Source organism: Homo sapiens, chromosome 6 (assembly GCF_000001405.40).
Source record: "Homo sapiens chromosome 6, GRCh38.p14 Primary Assembly".
NCBI classification, from domain to species: domain Eukaryota; kingdom Metazoa; phylum Chordata; class Mammalia; order Primates; family Hominidae; genus Homo; species Homo sapiens.
Genome location: NC_000006.12, coordinates 107,275,336 through 107,301,569, shown reverse-complemented (window position 1 = coordinate 107,301,569; position 26,234 = coordinate 107,275,336). Strand labels below are relative to the sequence as shown.

Sequence of the window (26,234 nt, the reverse complement as noted above, 5' to 3'; positions counted from 1 at the left end):
AAAAATATTACAGTCTGTGATAAGATACCCACCAACATATGTGTTCTCCAAGGTATATAAATGACAGCTACAGTAGGTGTCTGAAAGTAATGCTTGTTTTGTTTTTGCAAATGAACTGTAAATTATTTCAAAAAATGGTAAAGTGTTTTTAGCACTTTAGGTATCCATATATTAATATAACTTTCAAGCAAGTTACTTTGAATGGGAAATACATAGTTTATTCACCAGAAAACAAACTTTATTACTCTAAAATCACACTGCACACACCGGGCAATTCTTAATTTCACAATTCTTCTTTAGTGTGTGTTTTTGTTTAGGTCCACAAAAACTATAGAAATGTTTAAAAGGCTGCCACTGCTTTTCAAGGAAAGGAGTAATATATACACACAAAGTAATGAAAAAGTCCGCGAATCACAATTTATATACTATAAAAAGCTATCTTCATACATTCTTTCAAATTTCATCACTTCACTTAATTGTAATGTGGACTTAATGTGTGTTCACTCGGATGAAAATCCATGAGTGCTTATTTCAAATGAAACAAGTGTGCCATCTACAAATTTCTCTTTCATAGGAAAGTGGTGCGGGAAGATTAAAAGATGATTAAAAGACTCAGGGAGTCTTTATAGGACTCCCTGCTGTGAATAGTAAATGTCAGTAGTTTTCTGTTGGGGGGGTTAATGAATAAATGATATGCCTATGCCCACCTCAAATTGCTGTAAAACACATACATGTATGTATGTGTACATATGTGTGAATATGTGTTTATGCACGTGTGTGTGTGTATACATACGCTGCAAACCAGTGTTTTTTGTTTTTTGTTTTTCAATTGCAAGATTTGATAGAGTGAAAACAGAGCTCCCATACAACGGGAAGTGACCCAAAGGGGGTTACCCATCCGGCTCAAATGCCTAGGTTTATATCCCGATCATTGTCCCTCCCCCTGTGCTCTCAGGCAATAGATGATCTGACTATTTCTTTACCTCCTCTTTTTAGTCTAATTGGTATTTTAGTGAGCCCTTTTTACCACCTGATGGGTTGGGTGTGAGCTGAGTTACAAGCCCCGTGTTTAGAGGTGGGTGCGGTCTCCTTCCCCAGCTAGGCTTAGGAATTCTTAGTTGGCCTAGGAAATCCAGCTTGTCCTGTCTCTCAGTCCCCCTCTCAACAGGAAAACCCAAGTGCTGTTGGAGAGGTTGGCCGACGACCTCTTAACTACTTCCTGCTGAATTGGGGCGTAGTAGGGGTCGTGCAGTTGAGATTTCCTCAGGAGGGGTGCCTTCAATGTCATCAACATCAGAGCATGAACTAGCAGGCTGGTCCAGGGGTCCACAGTAGATCTTAGTCATGGACTGCATCTGGGGCTTCATTTGAAGAACGATTTGTAGTTTTACAGCTTCGATTCTGGAAGAGATAAACTTAACAAGGAGGTTAAAGATACAGGGATTGAAATGTAGGCCTGAAGTGCAGGGGGAGGCACATCCAACAGTTAGTAGGGTTTTGGGCCGAGACTTCATGGAGCCCAGTGAGGGTGGTATTAAATAGGCTTACCAGGTGAGTATGGGTATGGAGGGTTTCATGTAGTTTTGAGAGGTCTAGTCCTTTGTAGGGGCTAGGGGTGCTATGTACCTGAGTCAATTGGGAGATTACTTCCTTTACATGTTTTTCTCTTGCCTGATCTTGAACTCCACCCCCATCAGACATACTGGTATGGGTGAAGTAAGGTCCAACAGACAGTGGCTCCAAGCCCCCAGGACAACTGGGAGTAATTATTTTCCCTGTCCAATAATGAGTATTTGCTTGCATGCAAAGAGTGGCAGAGTTATAGCAGTTGCGGGGCATATGGATGTGGGGGTGAAAGTGGGGTTTCATTTAGAAAAACTCCTATACAATGGGGCATTAATATATTCGGGAAGCCGCATTCTTCATAGAAGCTCTTGGTAAGGGGAGCTACTGGTAGTACAGCAGCATGGAGGAGGTGCAGTGAGTGTGAAAGGGGGTAAGAGAACAGTAAAGAGAAAAATTATGACAAGGGAGGGCCATGGGGATCTACAATTCTAGTTACTTTCCTCATGGTTGTTGCTTGAAGAGCAGGTGCAGATCCTCTAGAGGTTCACAGGAATAGCTAGCGTTGTCTCCTGGATTTTCGGGTTCCTTTGGAAACCAGTGTATTTTTAAAAACATTTTTTAACTTTTAGTATCCTGCTAATCTAGCAAAATAAAGATAGTGAGATGCCTGGGTTGGATACAAAGACCACTGTGGCTCTCTGCTTTGAATGAGATAATGCTCATCTGTGAGTGTATTTAAAAAAAGACACAACTGGAATTTGAATTTGGGATCTCAAAAAATGTTCTGAGAGGGTTTTTTTTCTTTTAATTCTTTATTTGGTATATGTTTGTTTCTTTTTTTTTTTTTTTTTTTTTTTGAGACAGGGTCTCACTTTGTCACCCAGACTGGAGTGTAGTGATACGATCTCAGCTCACTGCAGCTTCAACCTCCCAGGCTCAGGCGATCCTCCCACCTCAGCCCCATAAGTATTAATAGCTGGGACTACCGGCCTGTGCCATCACACCAGCTAATTTTTGTATTTTTAGTAGAAATGGGGTTTTGCTATGTTGCCCAGGCTGGTCTCAAACTCCTGAGCTCAGGCGATTCGCCTGCCTCAGCCTCCCAAAGTGCTAGGATTACAGATGTGAGCCACCATGCCTGGTCCTATTTGGTATATGTTTCTTGTTAACTTCATTTGCTATGGAAGAGTGCTCATTTCTTTTTACTGCAATTCAGATCCCATGGGAGATCAGGCCACCTCTTAGGATGAGAACATTTAGGTCTTATGGATTTCAAACTCTTTACTAAAACCTAGCCAACTATGTATGTATGTATGCATCTGTACAAACACATATGCCTATATATACACACACATATATGCATACATACACATGCATATCTATGCACACATGTATGTATATAAAGCTACACTATGTATATAGGTATATATACAGTTGCCCTCAATATTCATGGATCTTGGTCCCAGGATCTCACTTGGATACCAAAATCCTTGGATGCTCAAGTCCCTGATATAAAATGGTATAGTCTCTGATATAAAATGGTTATATTTGCATATAACCACTGTGCATCCTCTTGTATGCTTCATATCATCTTCAGATTACTTATAATACCTAGTAAAATGTAGATGCTATGTAAATAGTTGTTATACTAGATTATTTAGGGAATAATGACCAGGAAAAAAGTCTGCTCGTGTTCAGTACAAGTATTTTCTGTCAGTGGTTGGTTGAATCCAGGAATGTAGAACCCACCAATACCAATGGCCAACTATATGTGTTTGTGTGTTTCTTTTCATTCCTTACCTTTCTCTCACTTTCTGCTACTTCTTCTCAATAGGGGATTCATATAATTTGTAGTGTGCTTTGGAATAATAACTGAATGCACTATCCCAGTTTTCCTTCTCATATCTTTTTCACATCATACTGATTTTATTTATGATTTGTTTTTTAAAATTTTGTTTCTGGCTGGGGCAGTGGCTCACACCTGTAATCTCAGGACTTTGGGAGGCCAAGGCAGAGGATCACTTGAGGCCAGGAGTTCGAGACCAGCCTGGCCAACATGGCGAAACCCTGTCTCTACTAAAAATACAAAAATTAGCTGGGAGTGGTGGCACACGCCTATAATCCCAGCTACTCGGGTGTCCGAGGTACAAGAGTTGCTAGAACCTGGGAGGTGGAGGTTGCAGTGAGCGGAGATTGCGCCATTGCACTCCAGCCTGGGCAACAGAGTGAGACTCTGTCAAATAAATAAATAAATAAATAAAATTTTGTTTCCAATATAATCTTCATCTCACCTTCATCCTTTCATGAGCCTTAAATTCATTCCCAGCCAGGCACAGGGGCTCATGCCTGTAATCCCAACACTTTGGGAGGCCGAGGCGGGTGGATCATGAGGCCAGGAGTTCGAGACCAGCCTGGCCAACATGGTGAAACCCAGTCTCTACTAAAATACAAAAATTAGCCGGGCATGGTGACGGACGCCTGTAACCCCAGCTACTCGGGAGGCTGAGGCAGGAGAATGGTGTGAACTTGGGAGGCGGAGGTTGCAGGGAGCCGAGATCGCACCACTGCACTCCAGCCTGGGTGGCAGGAGCAAGACTCCGTCTCAAAAAAAAAAAAAAATTCACTCCCACCTCCAAAAATACTGTTTACATGTTTTCCAGATACTTCTGGGAGTATTTTTTCTAGGAAAGGAGGGATATTGTATATGTACCCTAAGAGCACTTTTAATAGAGGATTATGAAAAAGCAATTCATATTTACTGAGGCATAAACATTAAATCTGAGACTGACTGAGATTTGGGAAGCCTTTCTGGGAAACACTGGTCTTTTAATTGTCACTACCCCCATGTCATCCACTGGTTAGGATGGGGTGTATTCCTTTGTCTATGCCCATGTGAGAGGCCCCTGCTGCAGTGCCCATCTGATGTTCTGTTAATTCCCTTCCCAGATCTAGACCATTGTAATTGTTTACTCTCTATGCAGTGCTTTGTGGATGGTGGCAGTCAAGCACTGAGGGGAAAATAATTTTTCTTGGGATTTCCACTTCTCTTACAACACCATTAAATGTTTCATTTTCGTATTTTTCTCTAGTTTCAAATTTGTGATGAGGTATAAACATAGTGTTGAATAACCTTTTTTTAAACCAGGCATTCTTCAATAACAATGCAAAAAGTATTTATGGAATGTTTACTAAGTATGCAGTACTCTATTTTGGGTAAAGGATGAATTGAGTTCAGTGTTTTATTTTTTTATTTTGTTTTATTTTATTTATTTTTTTGAGATGGAGTTTTACTCTTGTTGCCCAGGCTGGAGTGCAATGGCACAATCTTGGCTCACTGCAACCTCCGCCTCCTGGATTCAAGTGATTCTCCTGCCTCAGCCTCCTGAGTAGCTGGGATTACAGGCTCCTGCCACCACGCCCAGCTAATTTTTTATATTTTTAGTAGAGACGAGGTTTCACTATATTGGCCAGGCTGGTCTCAAACTCCTGACCTCAGGTGATCCACCCACCTCAGCCTCCCAAAGTGCTGGGATTACGGGCGTGAGCCACCATGCCCCATTGAGTCCAGTGTTTTCAATCATTATATACAAAAATAAAGAGATATAAGGCTGTGAGAAAAATAAATATTTCATTTTTGACATCTTTCATACTCATGCTTCAAAGGCATCATATAAATGCCTTACTCCCTTAGTACGTAATGCCAGCTCTGTCATACACGTAGTACACATGATCTTTCATACTAGACAAAGGAAAGGCTCAGGACTATTCTCACCATGTGTTAGGGTAGGCTAGGTTATGCTGCAGTGCAAATGGCCCTGAAGTCTCAATGACTCACAAAATAAAGGTCCACTTGTTATTCAGGTGTCATATCCATATCATCCTTACTCCTAGACTAAGGCTGATGGAGCAGCCCTCCATTTGGAACATTACTGGTCTCATGTCAGAAAAGAGACCAGGTGAACCACGACCCAGCTTTGCTTAGAAATGACATTTTTAACTCACTTCTCATTGACAAAAGCAATTCACATACCCTTACTTGAGTTTAAGAGCATGGAGATGCATAATCTTCCCACAGGATGATGGTGGTGGTGGTATTGAACATCAGACTATTTACCAAAAAGATATATAATCTGTTATGTACCTGTTGTCATTTTTTTTCTCTAAAAAAAATTATTCTAGGGTCACTCCCTTCTGGCTTTTCATAAGGTCAAGGAATAAAAGACCATTTATTGCTGTAGCGTGATGCCAATCAAACTTTTTCCTTCTCCCCACCCCCATGTTCTTCCCATCCCAACATTTACCTGGCAATTTGGTAAAATGGAAGGAGCATGGATTCACAGGTCACACTGGCTGTGCTGGTCACTCTTGGAGTGACATTAGGCAAATAACTTGACCTCTCTAAATCTAAGTTATCTCCATATAAAATCTTAATGATTCTCTCTTTATCAGGTTGTTGGAGGTATTACATGAAACAGTCTATATAAAGCACTTAGCCAACGCGGGGGACACTTCATCCCCACATCCCCTCCTATTTCCTCACAAGAGTACTTACCTGGTTTTCACAGATACCCACAAGGGAATATGTGGGTTGAATTCAGCGATCAATGAACTTGGATGGAAAAATGATTACATTTTTATTTTCAACATAATTGGCATCCTTCATAATCTTATTTATGTTATGTGTTTAAAACCATTTTTCTTAGTAGAATCCTTAGGTTTCACCAGATTGCCAAAGGAGTCCACAGTATAACAGATGTTAAGAACAGAACTGGCCGGGCGCGGTGGCTCACGCCTGTAATCCCAGCACTTTGGGAGGCTGAGGCAGGTGGATCACCTAAGGTCAGGAGTTCAAGACCAGCCTGGCCAACATGGCAAAACCCCATCTCTACTAAAAATACAAAAAAATTAGCTGGGCTTGGTGGCGTGCGCCTGTAATCCCAGCTACTCAGGAGGCTGGGGCAGGAGAATCGCTTGAACCCCAGTGGGGCAGAGGTTGCAGTGAGCCAAGATCACGCCACTTCACTCCAGCCTGGGTGACCAAGCGAGACTCCATCTCAAAAAAAAGAAAAAAAGAACAGAACCCCTGTGTCTAGTGACAGACTGTAAATGCTACCCACAATTATTCCATTATACAAAAAAAAATTGTTTCTTTAGGGAGGCAATGAGGTTTGTTAGCAGATGAATTATATTTTACCTCAGCAAAAGTATTTTAGTCCAAATCTAGCCCCATTGCTTATTAGTCATAAGGCCCTGGGCAAATCAGTTAATATATCTGAATTTCCATTTTCTTATCTGTAAAATAGGGCTAATAACTATACTTGGTGAAGATTAAATGAGATACTATATTTTAAAAATCAGAATATCTGGGACATAGTATGTTATGAGTTACGCATTAAGCTGTACACTTAGTACCTGCCAATGGCACCTATTGTCTATGGTTTAAACATGCAGGAGAAGCCTAGTACAGAGTGCCATGAGCCTGCAGTCCTAGCTACTCACGAGGCTGAGGCAGGAGGATCACTTGAGGCCAGCAGTTTAAGACCAGCCTGGACAATATAGAAAGACCCTGTCTCTAAAAAAAATTTTTTTTAATTAAAAAAAAAATTCTGAGGAATTTCTCAACTTTTATACATGAAAATACTTGGTGAAGTATTTGGGGGGACATTTAGGATTTGTTCTTGTGTCTCTAGATACCTAGGTTGATTAGGTAGCAGAGCATGCAATCTAATTTTAAGCTTCTCACTGTATAGACTATGCCCTGACACTCTTTTTCATTGGAAACAGATCTTTGCCCCTTTATTCCCACCTTACCTTCACATTTCCCAGCCTCAGACACATTTGATGGCCTAAGTGAAGCCTGCCAAGGTTCCCTCTTTGGTCCATCACTGCCTCTTGTTATTTAGCTGGAGAGGTCTTTGCAGAATGACATTTCCCTCCTACAGTGCTTACTGTGCCCCATTTAGCATGCAGCCTTCACATTTTTCCTAACCCCTGCTTGCTCTCTAAAGGAGAGAAAACCCAAACCTCAGCCTCTTGTGAAGCAATTCAGAACTCAATGCCTGGCAGTTGGCGTTGGTCCTGTCACTAAACTTTAATAATGATTGAGATCCCCCTTATTTTGATCCAGTCTCCAGTATTCATAGGTAAAAGCCTGCTTGTCTTCTTCATCTGCTATCACACATCTTTTCTTCTACCCCTTCTAAAATCAAAGTATGTATGCCCACTCCAGTTCACCAAATATTTTTAGCTTTCTCATATGCTGATTTTGCTCAGCAGCATTTTCTAGTTTACTCTCTGGGTTGTCAGTGGACTGTCATTTCTCCCAGTCCAGTTGTGCCTGAAGCAGTTTTCATAGCTAAATGACAAACCCTTGAAGAAAGGGGTTTGTAATGAAAATGGAAACTCCAGTGTGCTCTTTGTAATCAGTTCTTTAATCCTCCACCTGCCAGACCATGGATACAATTCGTAATTATCAGAGCAGAGAACTGAACTCCCGTACCGCGGCAGAAAGCATGAGCACTATGGGAGGGCAAGTGATAGAATCTGCTCTCCAGTGGGGAGGGGGACAGATATTTTGGAAAACTTTGACACAGAATGTGATGTATTTGTATAACCTTTTCATGTAAAACTGTGCTGCAGTCAGAGAGGGGGTCTGGGTTTTCTTCATTAAAAGCTTATTAAAGAAAGAAATAGGACAGTCGTTTTGCTTCGGTAGATGGGGGTCAGAGAGGCAGGTCTGATCTCCTCAGGATATTAATGTCTGCCTTCAGCCAGGGGAAATGAGCCGTCACTTGAGTTAGAGGCAGCTTTATGTGCTCATCACTAGGGATTCCCATATGTCCAGGGAGCTGCAACAGTGAAAAATGGCAGAGCTCAGTGGTAGAGTACGGAGGGCTTTCATTGGAATTCATGTCAGGAAGCTCAGCTCAGTCTGCCCAGAGCAAGTCTGTTTAATGTTGATCAGCTGTCCATCTGATAAACCGAATTGATACGGGTATTCCCTCCAAGGGCTGCCCTGACAGTGACAGCCGCCGCACCCAGATGTCTTGTTAGGCTTTTTTGGTAGTCTCAAGTATTTTTAACCCCTTTTGTGACATGCAAACCCCAAAGTACTTTTAGAAACCTAGATAAGGATGCCTAGCTAGGCTTTCTCTCTGCTCCTCTGGCAGATAAGAGCCCCACATAACTGTTTCTAGAAACCAGAGATTATTATTAGTTAGCTGCCCCTCCTCCTCCTCATAAGCATCTGGTTGACCTGCAGGATAATTATGTGTTGACAGTATCAAGTGTATGTCTCAGTTATTCAAAACAGCATTTAGAAAAATGTTCTTAAATATAGTAAGTCACCTGGCTTGGTTATTCTTTATTAAAGTACTCTCATAGGTGTGTTCATTGATCACTAAGCAGAGCTTTATTATGTTCATGCATAAAGAGACCATGCAATACAAATTTCTTTTTGGTTGGCTAATTTCTAGTGATAAATATGGTGACTCCTTGCTGAGTCCCAACATCCCTCTGCTCTTTCAAGTATGACTACCACCACCAAAGGCATCTTACTTCTTTGTAGATTGGCTGGCAGGTATGGAGGGAGTTAATTACAGAACACATCAATACTGAGTTTTCTTTTTTGGAAATAAATCAAGAGGGGAGGAAATGAATGCAAGTCTTTGTGTTAAGCTGTGATTATTTTAAAATTATATTTCTGCAAAAGTACCAGTAGTTCTAAATTACAGCACTGAATATGGGAGAATTTTTGTTTTAAAGGTTTTTTTTTTTTTTAATTGAAGTACTACTTAAAAGATTTTTGTCTTTATATTTGTTTTTCTTCACTTTTGGACCTTGTGTTTTCATGGCATGCAAGATTCTAACATAGACTGAAGTATCTAATCTCTTTGAACTGAGACCAGCTGCAGAGACTTTTTATTTTCTGCTTCTTTTCTGTATACTATAACTTAGAATGGTGGGTGAGCTTTTCTAAAAGAGACACAGAGCTCTCAGTACCCTCAGCAATTGCTTAGTGTGTGTGCTCAGAGCTGGAAGTAAGGCCTGGTCATTTTTTCCAACCCTTGAACCTGTAACTTGATCACTACTTGGAGGTCATCTTTATTACGGCCTACAGCCTTGGCATTTTTCTTTTTTCTTTTCTTTTTTAAATAGAAATGAGGTCTCTCTATGTTGCCCAGGCTGGTCTCAAAACTCCTGGGCTCAAACAGTCCTCCCACCTTGGCCTCCCAAAGTGTTGGGATTACAGGCATGAGCCACCGTGCCCAGCTGGCACTTGGCCTCTCATGGTTGAGATTTTTCATTTTCCTACCCTATTTTTAAAAACAGAATTCTAGGCTGTGCATGGTGACTCATACCTGTAATTCCAGCACTCTGGAAGGCCAAGGTGGGAGGATCACTTGAGGCTAGGAGTTCAAGACCAGCCTGGGCAACATAGTGAGACCCCCCCGTCTCTACTTAAAAAAAAAAAAAAAACTAACTAAAAATTAGCTGGGTATGGTGGCGCGCACCTGTAATCCCAGCTACTGAGGAGGTTGAAGTGGAAGGCTTCCTTGAGCCCAGGAGTTTGAGGTCATATTGAACTACAATAACACTACTGTACTCCAGCCTGGGTGATAGAGTGAGACCCTGTCTCAAAAAAAAAAAAAAAAATTATAAAATAAAATCAGAATTCTCATTTCAAAATTTAAGAATGAAATAAGATGAATTTTGAATGATATACTCATGGCCAACCCCAAATACAAAGTTCCATTTTAATTTAAGTTATCAACATGAATAAATGACAAAATAGGAAAATCCTTATGTTTATCTAATTATCACAACTTAAATTGAATGACTCTTAGGACTTTAAGTCTACTTATAAAAAATTAATATTTGGCACTTATAATTAGTTAAAGGTTATCATCACGAAAGATTCTTTTACCCGGCACAGGTTTACAAAAGTATGTATGCTTTTCCTTTTCATTAGCGCTCACATGCTTTTTTTTTTTTTAACGGTTTGAGCTTGATATTATTGAAGCATGTTTTAGAAATTTTTTTGCTTTTCTCTGTTTCTCCGTCTGCTCCCACCCTGATTATTTGCCCTGTTCTTTGGGACTTTGGGGAGAGATAAAACACAAACAAGTGGGGGGAAAAAAGCTAGTATGTCACATGGCAATAAGAGCTATGGAGGGGAAAAAAAGCAGGAAGTAGGGATCGAGAATGCTGATGAGGATGACAGGGTTGCTATTGTAAATGGCTTGCCCAGGGAAGGCCTTATGTAGAGAGAGGTGCACTTTTGCAGAGACCTCAAGAGGGTGAATGGCTAAGCCTTGTAGATACATAAGCCGAGTGCAGTCCAGATAGAGGAAAGGGCAAAGGCCCTGAGGCAAGAATAGGCTTGGCATGTTTAAGGAATAACAAAGAAGCTAGTGTCACAGAAGAGAGTGAATGAGGGGGAAAAGCAAAGGGAATGAAGTCAGAGAGGCGGGGGGTGGAGAAATTGTGGCAGATTGTATTAGACTTGGAGTCCATTATAGGGACTGGCTTTTACCAAAGTAAGTGAGATAGGGACCACTGGAGGGTTTTGAGCAGAAGAGCAACGGACCTGGTGGTTTCATTTTCCTGCTTGCCTCGTTTCTGCTACCGTTTTACCACTCCAGCCTCACATCTAAAAAGTATCTTTCATTTATCCTCCATATTTAGTCACACAGCAATACTGCAGTTCTTCCATGAGATTATTTTGTATCACTCCCCGTGTACCTCTGTTGTCACCTTAGAGTTCACATTCTAATCATTTCACTCCTAAATTATTAGAAAAGTAGAAACAACTTTGTGATAGTTACAGTTTGGCAAATCGTGGTGTAAAGAAATAAACTTCTTACAAAACTGTTTTAACAGAATAGGTGTCCTCATTAAGTCATCAGCTCCTTGTCACTGGAAATACTAAAATAGGACCAGGCATGGTGCCTCACACCTGTAATCACGGGCCGAGGCTTAAGGCCAGGAGTTTGAGCCTGGACTGGGCAACAAAGTGAAACCCTGTCTCTACAAAAAACATTTTTTAAAAAAAAATTAGCCAGGCTTAGTGGTGTGCACCTATAGTCCCAGCTACTCAGGAGGCTGAGGCGGGAGGATTGCTTGAGCCCAGGAGAAGTTGAGTGACTTTCCCTAATGAGCTTGCACTACTTGGCCTCATGGGCTCTTTACAACTAGAGTTCTCTGAAATTATGCTGTGGTAGCCTGATCTTCTTGACAGTCATAGTCATCTCTCCCCATGCTCCACATCCTGGATTATACTGGCATATTCCATTTCTTTTTGTTTTTGAGACAGGGTTTCATTCTGTCTCCCAGGCTGGAGTGCAGTGGCATGATCTTGGCTGACTGCAGCCTCGACATCCTAGGCTCAAGTGATCCTCCCACCTCAAGCCTCCTGAGTAGCTAGGACAAGGGCACACCACCACGTCCAGCTAATTTTTATATTTTTTCTAGGGATAGTTTCGCCGTGTTGCCCAGGCTGGTCTCAGATTCCTGGGCTCGAGCAATCCACCCACCTTGTCCTCCCACAGTGCTTGGATTATAGGCATGATAGGCATGAGCCACTGCACCTGGCCTCCATTTCTTTTTCTTTCTTTCTTTTTTTTTTTTTTGAGACAGAGTCTCGCTCTGTTACCCAGGCTGGAGTGCAGTGGCACGATATCGGCTCACTACAACCTCTGCCTCCCGGGTTCAAGCAATTCTCCTGCCTCAGCCTCCTGAGTAGCTGGGATTGCAGGTGCCTGCTACCATGCCCTTCTAATTTTTGTATTTTTAGTAGAGATGGGGTTTCACCATGTTGGCCAGACTGGTCTCGAACTGCTGACCTCAGGTGATACGCCCATCTTGGCCTCCCAAAATGCTGGTATTACAGGTGTGAGCCACCACGCCCGGCCTCCATTTCTTAAAATATCAATTTCGGCCAGGCGCGGTGACTCACGCCTGTAATCCCAGCACTTTGGGAGGCCGAGGTGGGCGGATCACCTGAGAGGTGAGGTGAGCAGTTCGAGACCAGCCTGGCTAACATGGTGAAACCCCGTCTCTACTAAAAATACAAAAAATTAGCTGGGCTTGGTGGCGGACACGTGTAATCCCAGCTACTCGGGAGGCTGAGGCAGAGAATCGCTTGAATCCGGTAGGCGGAGGTTGCAGTGAGCCGAGATCGTACCACTGCACTCCAGCCTGGGCGACAAAGCAAGACTCTGTCTCAAAAAAAAAAAAAAAAAAAAAAAACAATTTCGTCCCGGCATCTTCATATTGTCCAGCCCCTCCTTAATGACCCCATACTGCTCTAGAAAAACCTAAACTCGTTGCTTGCTCTTTTCAAGGCCCTCTTCAGTCACAAGTCCAATCTCATCTGTGCTCCTGTCTGTATTAGATGGGCTTGTCTGCTACTGTCCAATGACTATCCCCTACTTCCCTCCAAATCTAAATCTGTTTAAACGTCCAAAAATAAAAAAGTCTATTAAAAAGTTCATAATCTCAGCATCTGCATTTCCTGCTCCCTGCCTGTCCTCTTTTCTTCCTTCTCATTGTTTTTCCTTTTTCTCCGAAAATCAACTTGTGCTCCTCATTCATTCATTCATATAACAAAGACTTGAGGGCCTACCAGGCACTGAACTACACAATGGAGATAGAATAATGGAAAAAACAGACAAATATTCCAGCCCTCATATTTTTTTTGCACTTACCAACTTTTGAAGGCGTAGATTTGGCCGTACCACATTCTTTTTACTTTCTACTTAGTATTGTACTACATTAATGGACATTTAGCTTGTTTCTAATTATTTGTTGTTACCAAACTATGTAATGTACACTATTAAAAACAAACATGTTGGACGGACATGTTGTGGCTCATGCCTGTAATCCCAGCACTTTGGGAAACCGAGGTGGGAGGATTGCTTCAGGCCAGGAGTTGGAGACCAGCCTGCTGACATAGGAAAACCCCATCTCTAATTTTTATTCTTATTTCACTGTTTTTTTGTTCTTTAGAGGACAGGATCTCACTCTGTCGCTCAGGCTGGAATGCAGTAGTGCAATGCTAGCTCCCTGCAACCTTGAACTCCTGGGTTCAAGCTATCCTCCCACCTCAGGCTCCCTAATAGCTGGGACTATAGGCACACGCCACCTCACCCATCTCTAATTTTAAAATACAATAAAAATTTGGGCCAGGCACAGTGGCTCACGCCTGTGATCCCAGCACTTTGGGAGGCTGATTCGGTGGATCACCTGAGGTCAGGAGTTCAAGACCAGTCTGGTCAACATGGTGAAAACCTGTCTCTACTAAAAATACAAAAATTAGCCAGGTGTGGTGGTGTATGCCTGTAATCCCAGCTACTTGGGAGGCTGAGGCAGGAGAATTGCTTGAACCCAGGAAGCAAAGGTTGCAGTGAGCCGAGATTGCACCACTGCACTCCAGCCTGGGTGATAGAGTAAGACTCCATCTCAAAAAAAATAAAATGAAAATTTTTAATTAAAAAAATGTTTATGTGGGTATATAAAATTATGCTGTTTCAGTAGAGTATCATAGGTCAAGAGGTATGCATATTTTTAATTTTTTTAGATACCATACTTTTCTAAGTGATTGTACCAACTTAAGGTCCAATACAGTAGTATATTCAGGGAAATTTCCCTGTGAGTGGCTACCTTCAAGGGTCAGGCTGTTCAAGCGAATGTGAAAGGTAAAGGAAGTGGTGGAGACTGTGGCAAGCTGAAGAGCTTGGCTCCAAAGGCTTTCCAATTCAATTTAGTTTTGGAAATGCTATTTGCCAAATTGTATGTCTGTGGGCTTTATTTGGCTCTTGGGGCATCAGTGTGAGACCCCAATTTCTACCTTCACCAAAACTGTATCTTCTTGATCTTTTTCATTTTTGCAAAGTCAATGAACTAAAAATGTTATTTCATTGTTATTGTAATACTTTCCTTTTTTTTGTTTTGTTTTGTTTTTTGAGACGGAGTCTTGCTCTGTCACCAGGCTGGAGTGCAGTGGCACAATCTCGGCTCACTGCAACCTCCACCTCCCGGGTTCAAGCCATCCTCCTGCCTCAGCCTCCCGGGTAGCTGGGACTACAGGCGCGTGCCACCATGCTCAGCTAATTTTTTCTATTTTTAGTAGAACCGGGGTTTCACCATGTTGGCCAGGATGGTCTCGATCTTTTGACCTCATGATCCACCTTGGCCTCTCAAAGTGCTGGGATTACAGGTGTGAGCCACCGCACCTGGCCACTCTTTTCTAAATTATTAGTGAGGTTGAGCATCATTTTACATACTTTTTGGCCACTTGTATTTCTTCTGGAATTACCTCTTTGTACCTTTTCCCATGTTGCTATTGTTTCTTTAACTTACTTATTTGGGTAAGCTTCACATATATTTTAAATATAAATCTTTTGTTTATTGTATTTATTGCAAGTACTTCAAGTCTGTATTTGCCTCATTATTTTTATGGTATATTTTATTTTATTATTTTATTATTTTTTTGAGATGGAGTCTCACTCTGTCAACCAGGCTGGAGTGCAGTGGTGCAATCTCAGCTCACTGCAACCTCTGCCTCTCAGGTTCAAGCAATTCTCCAGCCTCAGCCTCCCGAGTAGCTGGGATTACAGGCACCCGCCACCACAATCAGCAAATTTCTGTATTTTTTTAGTAGAGGTGGGGTTTCACCATGTTGGCCAGGCTGGTCTCAAACTCCTGACCTCAAGTGATCCACCCACCTCAGCCTCCCAAAGTGCTGGGATTACAGGCGTTAGCCACTGCGCCCAGCCTATGGTATATTTTAGTATTAAACTTTTTTGTTTATTTTAACTCCTCAAATTTATCCTTTGTTTTCTTTTCTTTCCTTTTTTTTTTTTTTATTTTGCGACGAAGTTTTGCTCCTTGACTAGGCTCCAGCCTAGATCTTGGCTCACTGCAACCTCTGCCTCCTGGGTTCAAGCAATTTTCCCACCTCAGCCTCCTGAGTAGCTGGGATTACAGGCACCCGCCACCAAGCCCAGCTAATTTTCGTATTTTTAGTAGGGACGGGGTTTTGCCATGTTGGTCAGGGTAGTCTCGAATTCCTGACCTCAGGTGATCCACTCGCCTTGGCCTCCCAAAGTACTGGGATTACAGGCATGAGCCAGTGCGCCCAGCCCCCTATCCTTTGTTTTCTTTGTAGCTTCCTGAGTTCCTATTCTGTTTTGCAAAACTATCTCACCCCATGTCCATAAGGATGTTTTCCTAAATTTATAGTGTTGCTTTTCACAGTTAGATGGTTAATCCATTTAAATATGTTTTTATCTATGGTGTAAGATAGGGATCTAACATTTTTTTCTCATAAATGATAGCCAATTGCCCCAATATCATTTGTAAGAATAATCCATCTTTTCCCTAATGATTTGAATTGTTATTTTTATCGTAAATAATTATTCATTTGCATTTGAATCTCTCTCTGGATTCCATTTCACTAATCTATTAGTCTATTCTTGTGATATCATACTTTTTTTTCCTTCTTCTTCTTCTTCCTCTTCTTCAAAATGGGGTCTTATTATGTTCCCCAGGCTTGTCGCAAACTCCTGGGCTGAAGCAATCCTCCTGCCTCAGCCTCCCAAAGTTCTGAGATTACAGATGTGAGCCTCCACGCCCAGCCATACTATACTTTTTAAAACTGCAGTAACTTTATAGTAAGATTTAAAATCTAGAACGGCAGCCCTCTTATTTTTTTTCCAAAGTTTTGTTTTTTTGTAATTTTCAAATTTATTCTTCCCATATGAACATAAAAATCAGTTTTTCAATTTTAAAAACAAATTTTAGGATTCAAGTAAAATGACTTTAAATGGATGACTCTTGCCTATCATTTTAATATTTTTAGAAAGACCCTGAATTTGCACATGTTGTGTTTGGGATATTTATTAGTTTTCTATTGATATGCAAAGAGCCCAGGCTTTAGAACCAGAGTCCTGGGCTTGAATCCAGCTTTGCAGTTAACTAGCTGTGTGAACTTGGGCAAGTTACTTAGCCTGTCAGCCTAGCTGCCTTCTGTACGGAAGAGATAATAAAGCTTACCTCAGAGAGCTGTTGTGAGTTGTATATTATTTTGTTTATTAACCTGTTAATTGAGTTATTTTTGCAAAAATATTTTTACATAGTGTTCAGCATACAGTAATTGTCTCAGAGTAATTTAGTAAGTAGTTGCCATAATCACTATTAGGCACTTTTTAAAATAGTGTTTTCGAAGAATATTCAGATGAAGTGACATATCTGGCATTTACTTCAAAGTCTGAAAGAGGAATGAAGGGTGTAGCTAAAACAAGGTTAACTATGGTTAACAACTCTTTTTTTTTTTTTTTGGAGACGAAGTCTTTCTCTTGTCCTCCAGGCTGGAGTGTGATGGCGCCATCTCGGCTCACTGTAACCTCCTCCTCCCGGGTTCAAGTGATTCTCCTGCCTCAGCCTCCTGAGTAGCTGGGATTACAGGCGCCTGCCACCACGCCAGGCTAATTTTTGTATTTTTAGTAGAGACGGGGTTTCACCATGTTTGCCAGGCTGGTCTCGAACTCCTGACTTCAGGTGATCCGCCTGTGTTGGCCTCCCGAAGTGCTGGGATTACAGGTGTGAGCCACCGCGCCCAGCCAGTTAACAAATTTTAAAGCTGGATGTTGGGTCCACAGATGTTCTTGATGCAATATTTTCTACTTTTATATGTTTGAAAATTCCCAAAATTTTAAAAAAGCATATTTAAAAGCTGTTAAAAATGACAAAGTGTAAATATTTATTATTTCTAAGTGGAAGATTATGTAAATATTATTCTCTGTACTTTTCTGTATTTTTTTAACCTCTCAAAAAGAAGAGAGGTAAGGAAGCTAGTGAGAGAGAAAGAAGGCTCCATTGTCTTTTTATCTCCCTTGTCCGTATAGCGAAACACAATTCTTCTCCTATTTTATTTTTATTTATTTATTTATTTTTATTTTATTATTATTATTTTTGAAACAGAGTTTTGCTCTTGTTGCCCAGGCTGGAGTGCAATGGCACCATCTAGGCTCATGGCAACCTCCACCTCCTGGATTGAAGCTATTCTCCTGCCTCAGTAACTGAGATCAGAGGCATGAGCCACCATGCCTGGCTAATTTTTTTGTATTTTTAGTAGAGATGGAGTTTCTCCCTGTTGGTCAGGCTGGTCTCAAACTCCTGACCTCAGGTGATTCGCCTGCCTTGGCCTCCCAAAGTGCTGGGATTACAGGCGTGAGCCACCACACCCGTCCTATTTTTATTTATTTATTTATTTATTTTTTGAGATGGAGTTTCACTCTTGTTGCCCAGGCTGGAGTGCCATGGCGCGATCTCAGCTCACCACAACCTCTGCCTCCTGGGTTCAAGTGATTCTTCTGCCTCAGCCTCCCAAGTAGCTGGAATCACAGATGTGCAACACCACGCCCAGCTAATTTTGTATTTTTAGTAGAGACAGGGTTTCTCCAAGTTGGTCAGGCTGGTGTCGAACTCCCAACCTCCAGTGATCTGCCCACCTCAGCCTCCCAAAGTACTGGAATTACAGGCGTGAGCCACCGCGCCCAGACAATTCTTCTCCTATTTTAACATCAACTTAAATGCAGAACATTTGAAGAGATTTCAGGTTATTATAAGGAACGATTCTGGTGGGTTTTTTTCTTTTTTTCTTTTTTCTTTTTAAGAGACAGGGTCTCACTCTGTCGCCCAGGCTGGAGTGCGGTGTTGCAAACACAGCCCACCGTAGCCTCAACTTCCTGGGCTCAAGCAACCCTCCTGCCTCAGCCTCCCAAGTAGCTTAGAATCACAGGCACACACCACCATACCTGGCTAATTTTTTTCTTTTCATTTTTCATTGAGATGAGGTCTCCCTATGTTGCCCAGGCTGGTCTTGAACTCCTGGGCGAAGCAATCCTCCCCGCCTTGGCCTCCTAAAGTGTTGGGATTACAAGTGTGAGCCACCACACCCAGCCAAACTGTTTATCAGTCTGGGTACGGTGGCTCACAGCTGTTTCCCTAGCACTTTGGGAGGCTGAGATGGAAGGATTGCTTCAGCTTAGAAGTTCGAGACCAGCCTGGGCAACATAGGGAGACCCCTGTCTCTACAAAAAAAAAAAATTCTTCTTTTTTTTTTTTTTTTTGAGACGGAGTCTTGTTCTGTTGCCCAGGCAGAAGTGCAATGGCACGAACTCAGCTCACTGCAAGCTCCGCCTCCCAGGTTCACGCCATTCTCCTGCCTCAGCCTCCTGAGTAGCTGGGACTACAGGCACCTGCCACCCTGCCTGGTAAATGTTTTGTATTTTTTTTTAGTAGAGTCGGGGTTTCACCCTGTTAGCCAGGATGGCCTCAATCTCCTGACTTCGTGATCCACCCGCCTCGGCCTCCCAAAGTGCTGGGATTACAGGCATGAACCACGGAGCCCGGCCCCAAAAAATAATTAAAAAAAAAAAGCAGCCAGGTATGGTGGTATGTGCCTGTAGTCCTAGCCACTCAGGAGGCTGAGACAGGAGGATCACTTGAGCCCAGGAATTTGAGGTTACAGTGAGCCATGGTCACGCCACTGTACTCCAGCCTGGGCTACAGAGTGAGACCCTGTTTCTAAAAATAAAAACTGTTCATCAGCTGACATGGCTCCTGTGAAGTAGTTACCACTAATCCCTGTATGGGGATACATAGAGACTAACTGACCTCTGGGGTCACTTCCAACTCTGATTCTATAAACCCTACTTTTTAGTTTATGTCATTCCTTCCCTTTTGAAACTAAGAATGATAGTGATGCCCTATAGCCTTTATACATTAATGGTGGCTGGGTGCAGTGGCTCACACCTCTAATCCCAGCACTTTAGGAGGCCAAGGCGGGTGGATCACCTGAGGTCAGCGGTTCGAGACCAGCCTGGCCAACATGGCGAAACCCCATCTCTACTAAAAATACAAAAATTAGCCAGGTATTGTGGCACATGCCTGTAATCCCAAATACTAGGGAGGCTGAGGCAGAAAAATTGCTTGAACCCAGGGGGTGGAGGTTTCAGTGAGCTGAGGTCACACCACTGCACTCCAGCCTGGGTGACGGAGCAAGACTCTGTCTCAAAAAAATAAATAAATAAATAAATAAATTGCTAAGTAAAGAGTTGTTCATTTAACAGATATTTATAGGCAGCCTAGGGAAGTAGGATAGTATAATTTACAGTGTCGTGAGGGAAGGGGGTGGCAGGGAGAGAGATAGCTAAAGAAATAATTACAGTCAAGTCAATACAAGACTGAGCCATATTCAAAGGCTTTCATGCACAGAAGAAAGAGTTCTAACTCTGGGAAAGTTAAAGAAGTTACACATGGTCTGATTATTAAAAAGTCTTTAGACAAAAAATAATATTGATCACAAACCCTTTAGCCCCAAAAGTTGTATGGTACTTTCATACAGTGGACCTCAGTAGCGATGTTAAATAGAAAAAGGAGATCCTCTACTTCTAAATGATACAGGACTGTCTCTGAGAGATAATGTTAGGTGAATAAAACCAGAGTGCAGAATTATGAACATGAGATGTCTATTATTTTTGTCACAATTTTTATTGACTATAACTTCTCAGAATGTATTTGGCTGCATATAACAAGACTCTAACAAGACTTACAACAAGACTCTAACAAACAGTGACTTGAAAGAGTGCAGTGTTTATCTCAGATAACAAGAAGTCTAGAGGTGGACACATCAGAGCTGATGCAGCCCTCAAGTCAGCAGGGGCTCAAAATTCTTTTTGCTCTACCAGGCTTAAAGAGGGTTAAACCTCTTTAGGAGGGCCCCCAACCCTCTTTAGGAGGTTTAGAGGGTTGGGAGCCCTCTTTAGGATCCTTAAGTCTCTACTGTGCCTCCAGGCAGCTGGGCCATATTCCAGTCAGGGAACATGGGTAAGCCCAAAATATCAAAGGTATACACCAACTGAATCTGTTCCCTTATATCAGGAACTCAGTAAATTTCTCAGAAACCCCACCTGGTAGACTAGTGCTTACATTTCATTGGCCAGACTGTGTCACATGATCACATCTAGCTGAAGGGGATCATGAGGAGGTAAGGTTTTTAAGTGAGGACCATTGCCACTCCAAATGTAGTCAAGAGTATGTACTTTTCTGTATATTTTTAACCTCTCAAAAAGAATAAAGGGAAGGAAAGAAGATAGAGAGAAAGCAGGCTCCGTTGTCTTTTATCTCCCTTGTCTGCGTGGCAAAACACAATTAACTCTGCTATTTTAACATCAACTTAAATGCAAAACATTTGAAGAGATTTCAAGTTATTATAAGTAACAATTTGGGTTGTTTGTTTGTTTGTTTGTTTGTTGAGACAGGGTCTCTGTTGCCCAGGCTGGAGTGCAGTGGCGCAAACACAGGAATGAATGGATAGGCAAATATTAATAGCAATGTCTGCCACCCTGATTTCTGAAGCTTAGGATGCTAAAAAAATTTGAGAAGCTTTGGAGGAAAATGGACAGATCAAAAGCAGATGAAATTTTTTAACATATAATGGAAAGAAAGTGATTTGGTGAAAAATCTTGTAAAAACATTTATTAATCTTTCAATATGGTAATTACTTTCTTACTCTGATTACTTAACATAAGTTGTATTTATTTGTGACTGTTTTCTAATCAAGAGTTAGCATGAGGGCCCAGCATAGTGGCTTAGGCCTGTAATCCCAGCACTTTGGGAGGCCGAGGTGGGTGGATCAGTTGAGGTCAGGAGTTTAAGACCAGCCTGGCCAACATGGTGAAACCCTGTCTCTACTAAAAATACAAAAAACTTAGCTGGACATCATGGCGCATGCCTGTAATCCTAGCTACTCGGGAGGCTGACGCATGAGAATTGCTTGAACCTGGGAGGCAGAGGTTGCAGTGAGCCGAGATCACGTTACTGCACTCCAGCCTGGGTGACAGAGCAAGACTCCATCTCAAAAAAAAGAGTTAGCATGAGAAATATTCAAGAGTACTAAAATATATGTACATAAATCGGCATGAAGACTTTTATTTAAGATAATTTTTTAAAAATCCAGTGCATTGAAAGTTTAATAGATTGCTTTGGGTAGCTAAAATAGGAATAAGATCACCAGAAGAAATTTTTCTCAAATTTTTTCATACTGTCAATGCTTCTCTGACATATACTAAATTGTACTCTTACAAAATATGATCCAGAGTTACTTATCTGGTGATAAAATCTTAGAATCTGAGAGCACAGTACTAGAGAGTGAAATTACAGGATAGATTTAAAGACGACCAGTCATTTCACTCCTATTTCCTATAGAAAAATAGGTACCAATAATAGTAATCATTTTTTTAAATCTTTTTAACTATTAACTGCCAGTTTAGATAACTCTTTTTTTAAAAAAATCCCTGAATCTTATAATTTGGGGACTGGAAGGGATGTGTTGCTCCAGTCCCCCTCCTTTCAGGGACAAGAAGACCACGGGTCTGATTTAAGGGATTTGCCCATGAATTGTCTTATGTAATAAGCAGAAGTAGAACTGTTATCCAGATTCCTGATTAGGCTAAAACTATTGATTTCATCCTGGTGAATTCAAACAACTTGACCTTCCCCAGTTACTGTAAACAAAAAGAATTAAGCCTGTTCTTAATATACTTTTTTCCTAGCAACATTCCCTTCCCTGTTGCTTCAAAACTAGGGATAAAAATTGGACAAATTTGTGGCATATATCAGTGATGGTAACATTGATAACTTTGGCTTATTCCCCCTCCCCAACGATCTACTATTCCTTAGGTAAATAAACATTTATTTTTATTTTTATTTTTATTTTGAGACAGAGTTTCACTCTGTTGCCCAGGCTGGAGTGCAGTGGTGTGATCTCGGCTCACTGCAACCTCCGCCTCCCGGGTTGAAGCGATTCTCCTGCCTCAGTCTCCAAATAGCTGGGATTACAGACATGCGCCACCATGTCCAGCCAATTTTTGTATTTTTAGTAGAGATGGGGTTTCACCATGTTGGCCAGGCTGCTCTTGAACTCCCGACCTCAAGTGGTCCACCTGCCTCAGCCTCCCAAAGTGCTGGGATTACAGGCGTGAGCCCAGCTAGATGTTTTAAATTGTCATTTGTTACTATGACAAGGTGGCTCTGAGTTCCAGCTTTGCCTTGTATAAACTCAGTGTTCTTGATCAAGTATTTAACCTCTGCAGACCTCTGTAATTAGAATCACAAGTAGATAATATAAATGAAAGGTTTTTTTAAATGGCAGACCCTGTAAAAATGATGGGCTTTCACTTTTATTATTGCATACCATTGTTTTTGTTGTTTCTGGTCATGTGGCATTTAAAAGTTTCTATTTATTTAATGAATGCTGTTTTATGACTATAGATGTCAAAATCACTCATTTTCATCCTTTGAGTAATTCAAAACACCACAACTTTTTGCTTACCTGGTTATTACTTTCTTTCATAAACTGAACTGCATGAAAAACTTGTCCAAATGCTTAACGCTTTTTACTTTTATACTTGCCCATAATCTCATTATGTGATTTTTGTGAAATGTGATAATGCGGACTTTTTTCAGTGAATGGTTTTGTAAACTAGAAATCATTCGCAGGATAGTAATAAAATACAATTTTATTCCTTTCTTTTAGTCACTTTTTAAACGGTAATTTTAAATGTTCTACTTTAAAAAAATGTCTTCTGTTAACTTTTCAACTGTCTTATAAGTCTCCATTCTTAGTGATTTTCTTTGGGATATAATGAGATTTTAATCTAAACCATGAATTTACTCTTAGATACTATTTGACTCACTGGTTCATTTCCTTTCTCTACTCCCCAAATTTGTAATCAAGTACAATATGTCTACTGGGTCATCTTTACATATTCTCTTAATTTTTTTAACAAAGGAAATCAATTAGACATGAGATTTTCCTTGGCATTTGATAATGCCAATTTGTTCTTTTAATTGTATCTTTATGTGATTATTATAGATGTTAAACCATTCTGTTTTTTTTAAGAGGAGTCTCATATATTATTTGATGATTTTATATTTATTTATTTATTTATTTATTTTATTTATTCATTTATTTTTGAGACAGAGTCTTGCTCTGTCATCCAGGCTAGAGTGCAGTGGTGCAATCTCAGCTAACTGCAACCTCTGCCTTCCGGGTTCAAGTGATTCTCCTTGCCTCTGCCTCCCAAGTAGCTCCCAAAAATTAGTCAGGCACCCGCCAACACGCCTGGCTAATTTTTGTATTTTTAGTAGAGACGGGGTTTCACCATGTTGGCCAGGTTGGTTTCGAACTCCTTACCTCAGGTGATCCACCCGCCTTGGCCTCCCATAGTGCAGGGATTACAGGCCTGAGCCACCGCGCCTGGCCTGATTATTCTATATTTATTTCTCTCCATGTCTAAGGCGGTGTCCTAGGTCAAGCCCTTTTGTTGCATCTTCCTTGGACCTTTGTAATAGCTCCCCCACCCCATATCCCTACTTTCCCTACATACTTTTTAAGATTTTTCTATGTATCACCTTTGGAATCTTCTTCCTAAATTATTAAAAAATATATATCATCCTTTCATCTCAAAATATTGCATGTGTAAAATATAGACCATTTCACCTGCTATAACCAAGCTCCAAAATTCTTATCTCTCACTTATCCACACAGTCCCTTTACTGTAGCCAAACTGATCTTTTCAACCTTTGGTCACGTTTTCTACTCTTGCCTTCTCTGTGTCATGATGTGTAGTCTTTCTTATTCTGGGGTTCCCAAGCCCTACTCTTGTTTTGTCCTTTTTCTCCAGCTATGGAAATCTTACTTGCCTTTCCAGGCCCCGCTCAAATTTAGCTTCTTCAAGGAAACTTTTTTAAAGCTTTTGTGACACAGATGAGGTCTACAGAAAAAAAGGAAAGATAGAAGCTTTCAATGGGCACATGTGGAAGGCAGCCTAATCTAGTAGAAATAGATTGGGGATTGGAGTCTCTGTTAGTTATCTATTGTGTAACAAACTACTCCAAACCTTGGTGGCTTAAAACAATAACCAACTTATTTCTCATAATTCTGTTGTTTGGCTGGACTGTTCCTTTGCTGGTTTCTCCTGTATTTATTTATGTGTCTGTGTTTACCTGGTAAATGTGCAGGGGGCTGGGCTTGACTGGGACAGCTGGACCTTTCTCCATGTTGCCTTTCATTCTCTAAGAGGCTAGATTAGGTTTCTTAACTTGTAGTCTCAGGTTAGCATTCAAAGAGTGTAAGCCCCAATGCAAAAACATTTATCAAGCCTGTTTGTCCCTCATTTGCCGATGTCCCATTGACCAAACAAGTCATATGGTCAAACTCAGCATCAATCAAGGAGATCATACATGGCTTGGATATCAGAGGGTGTGACTGATAAGTGTAACTTGGTGTAACACTCTGCCACAGTTTGCCCTCTGGCCCCAATATTTCACATTCCTTCCATATGCAAAACAGACCACCTCCCAAGACCCCAGTCTCATCCATTTTATGACATCAAGCTCAGAGTCCCTGATCTCATGATTTCTGTTAGGTCTCGATATGGATGTGGCTCCATGGGTGCAGCCCCTCTTCAGTCAGGGACCTAGGAACTAAAAGGACAAGTTATCCACCCTCCCCCCAACCACACACCACCGTCTATCCAACATGCAACAGTGAATCAGAAAGAAGATAACCACAGTTGTCACTTCCATTAAAAAGAGGGAGAAATGGGAGGTACATAGCAGTCACTAGTCTGTAGCAATTCTGAAATCCAGCTGGGCATATATCTGGGCCACCTACTGTATCTTGGAGCAAGGAATGTTTCTTGATTAGGGCTCAGTTCTATTCCCTGGAAATGGTTCTCGAATCCACTCTTCTCCATTGTTCTTGGCTCTACCTTCTGAGCTTCCTTTTCTTTTCTTTTCTTTTCTTTCCTTTTTTTTGAGATAGGGTCTCACTCTGTGCTAGGCTAGAGTGCAATAGTGCAGTCAGTTCACTATAACTTTGAACTCCTGAGCTCAGGTGATGTCCCACCTCAGCCTCCCAAGTAACTGGGACTACAGGCGTGCACCCTCTCACCAAGCTAATTTTTATTTTTTAATTTTTTGTAGAGATAGGGTCTCACTATGTTGCCTGAACTGATGTTGAACTCCTGGCCTCAAGCAGTCCTGCCACCTGGGCCTCCCAAAGTTCTGAGATTACAGGCATGAGCCACTGCACCTGGCCTATTTTCCCTTTTCAGTAAGATACAGTTTATACTTGCAGCTGAGTAGCTTTCCAGCTTCCACTAAGAGTTTGCCATTCCTTCAGCCTTTGCCTCCTAGCCTCATTTTTCTGACTCAAAGCAAACACTCCACTTATAGATATACCATTTCTGTATCAGATATCTGTTGCTACATAGCAAATCACCCATATAGTTTAGTGACTTGAAACAACTTACCATTCTGTGGATTGACGTGAGTGTTCTTCTGCTTGGGGTCATGCAACGCCTGTGACTGTGAAAAGCTTATCAGTTGCATAGGCACTTATCAGGCTTTCCTTGTGTACTGTTTGTTGATGTCCTATTGGCCAAAGCAAGTCACATGGCCAGGCATGGAAGGGGATCATGCAGGAGCTTGGAAACCAAAAGACATGACTCACATGGGGCCATTTGTAGCAGATACCAACAGATTTTCAGGTCTACATTACTGTGTACTCTTGGGAAAATCATTTTACTTGTGTG

At 41.4% G+C, this 26,234-nt stretch overlaps 1 protein-coding gene and 1 long non-coding RNA gene across 16 annotated transcripts in view, besides 1 other annotated feature; one reads left to right on the top strand and one right to left on the bottom strand.

Annotated features, from left to right (window-relative positions):
- PDSS2 (decaprenyl diphosphate synthase subunit 2) overlaps positions 1-26,234 on the top strand; it is a 307,003-nt gene that overhangs the window by 157,995 nt on the left and 122,774 nt on the right. The gene's annotated exons all lie outside the window — the stretch shown is intronic.
- LOC124901366 (uncharacterized) lies at positions 193-26,011 on the bottom strand. Its single transcript, XR_007059693.1, has 2 exons — positions 25,953-26,011; positions 193-2,151 (listed from the first exon to the last, which is right to left on the bottom strand). It is a non-coding gene; the product is annotated as an uncharacterized LOC124901366 (long non-coding RNA).
- Positions 18,438-18,638: a silencer, noted in NCBI's record as "peak6006 fragment used in MPRA reporter construct". NCBI's record gives its function as "represses an SCP1 promoter by STARR-seq MPRAs in K562 erythroleukemia cells {active_cell/tissue: K562}" and the evidence as "EXISTENCE:reporter gene assay evidence [ECO:0000049][PMID:32103011]".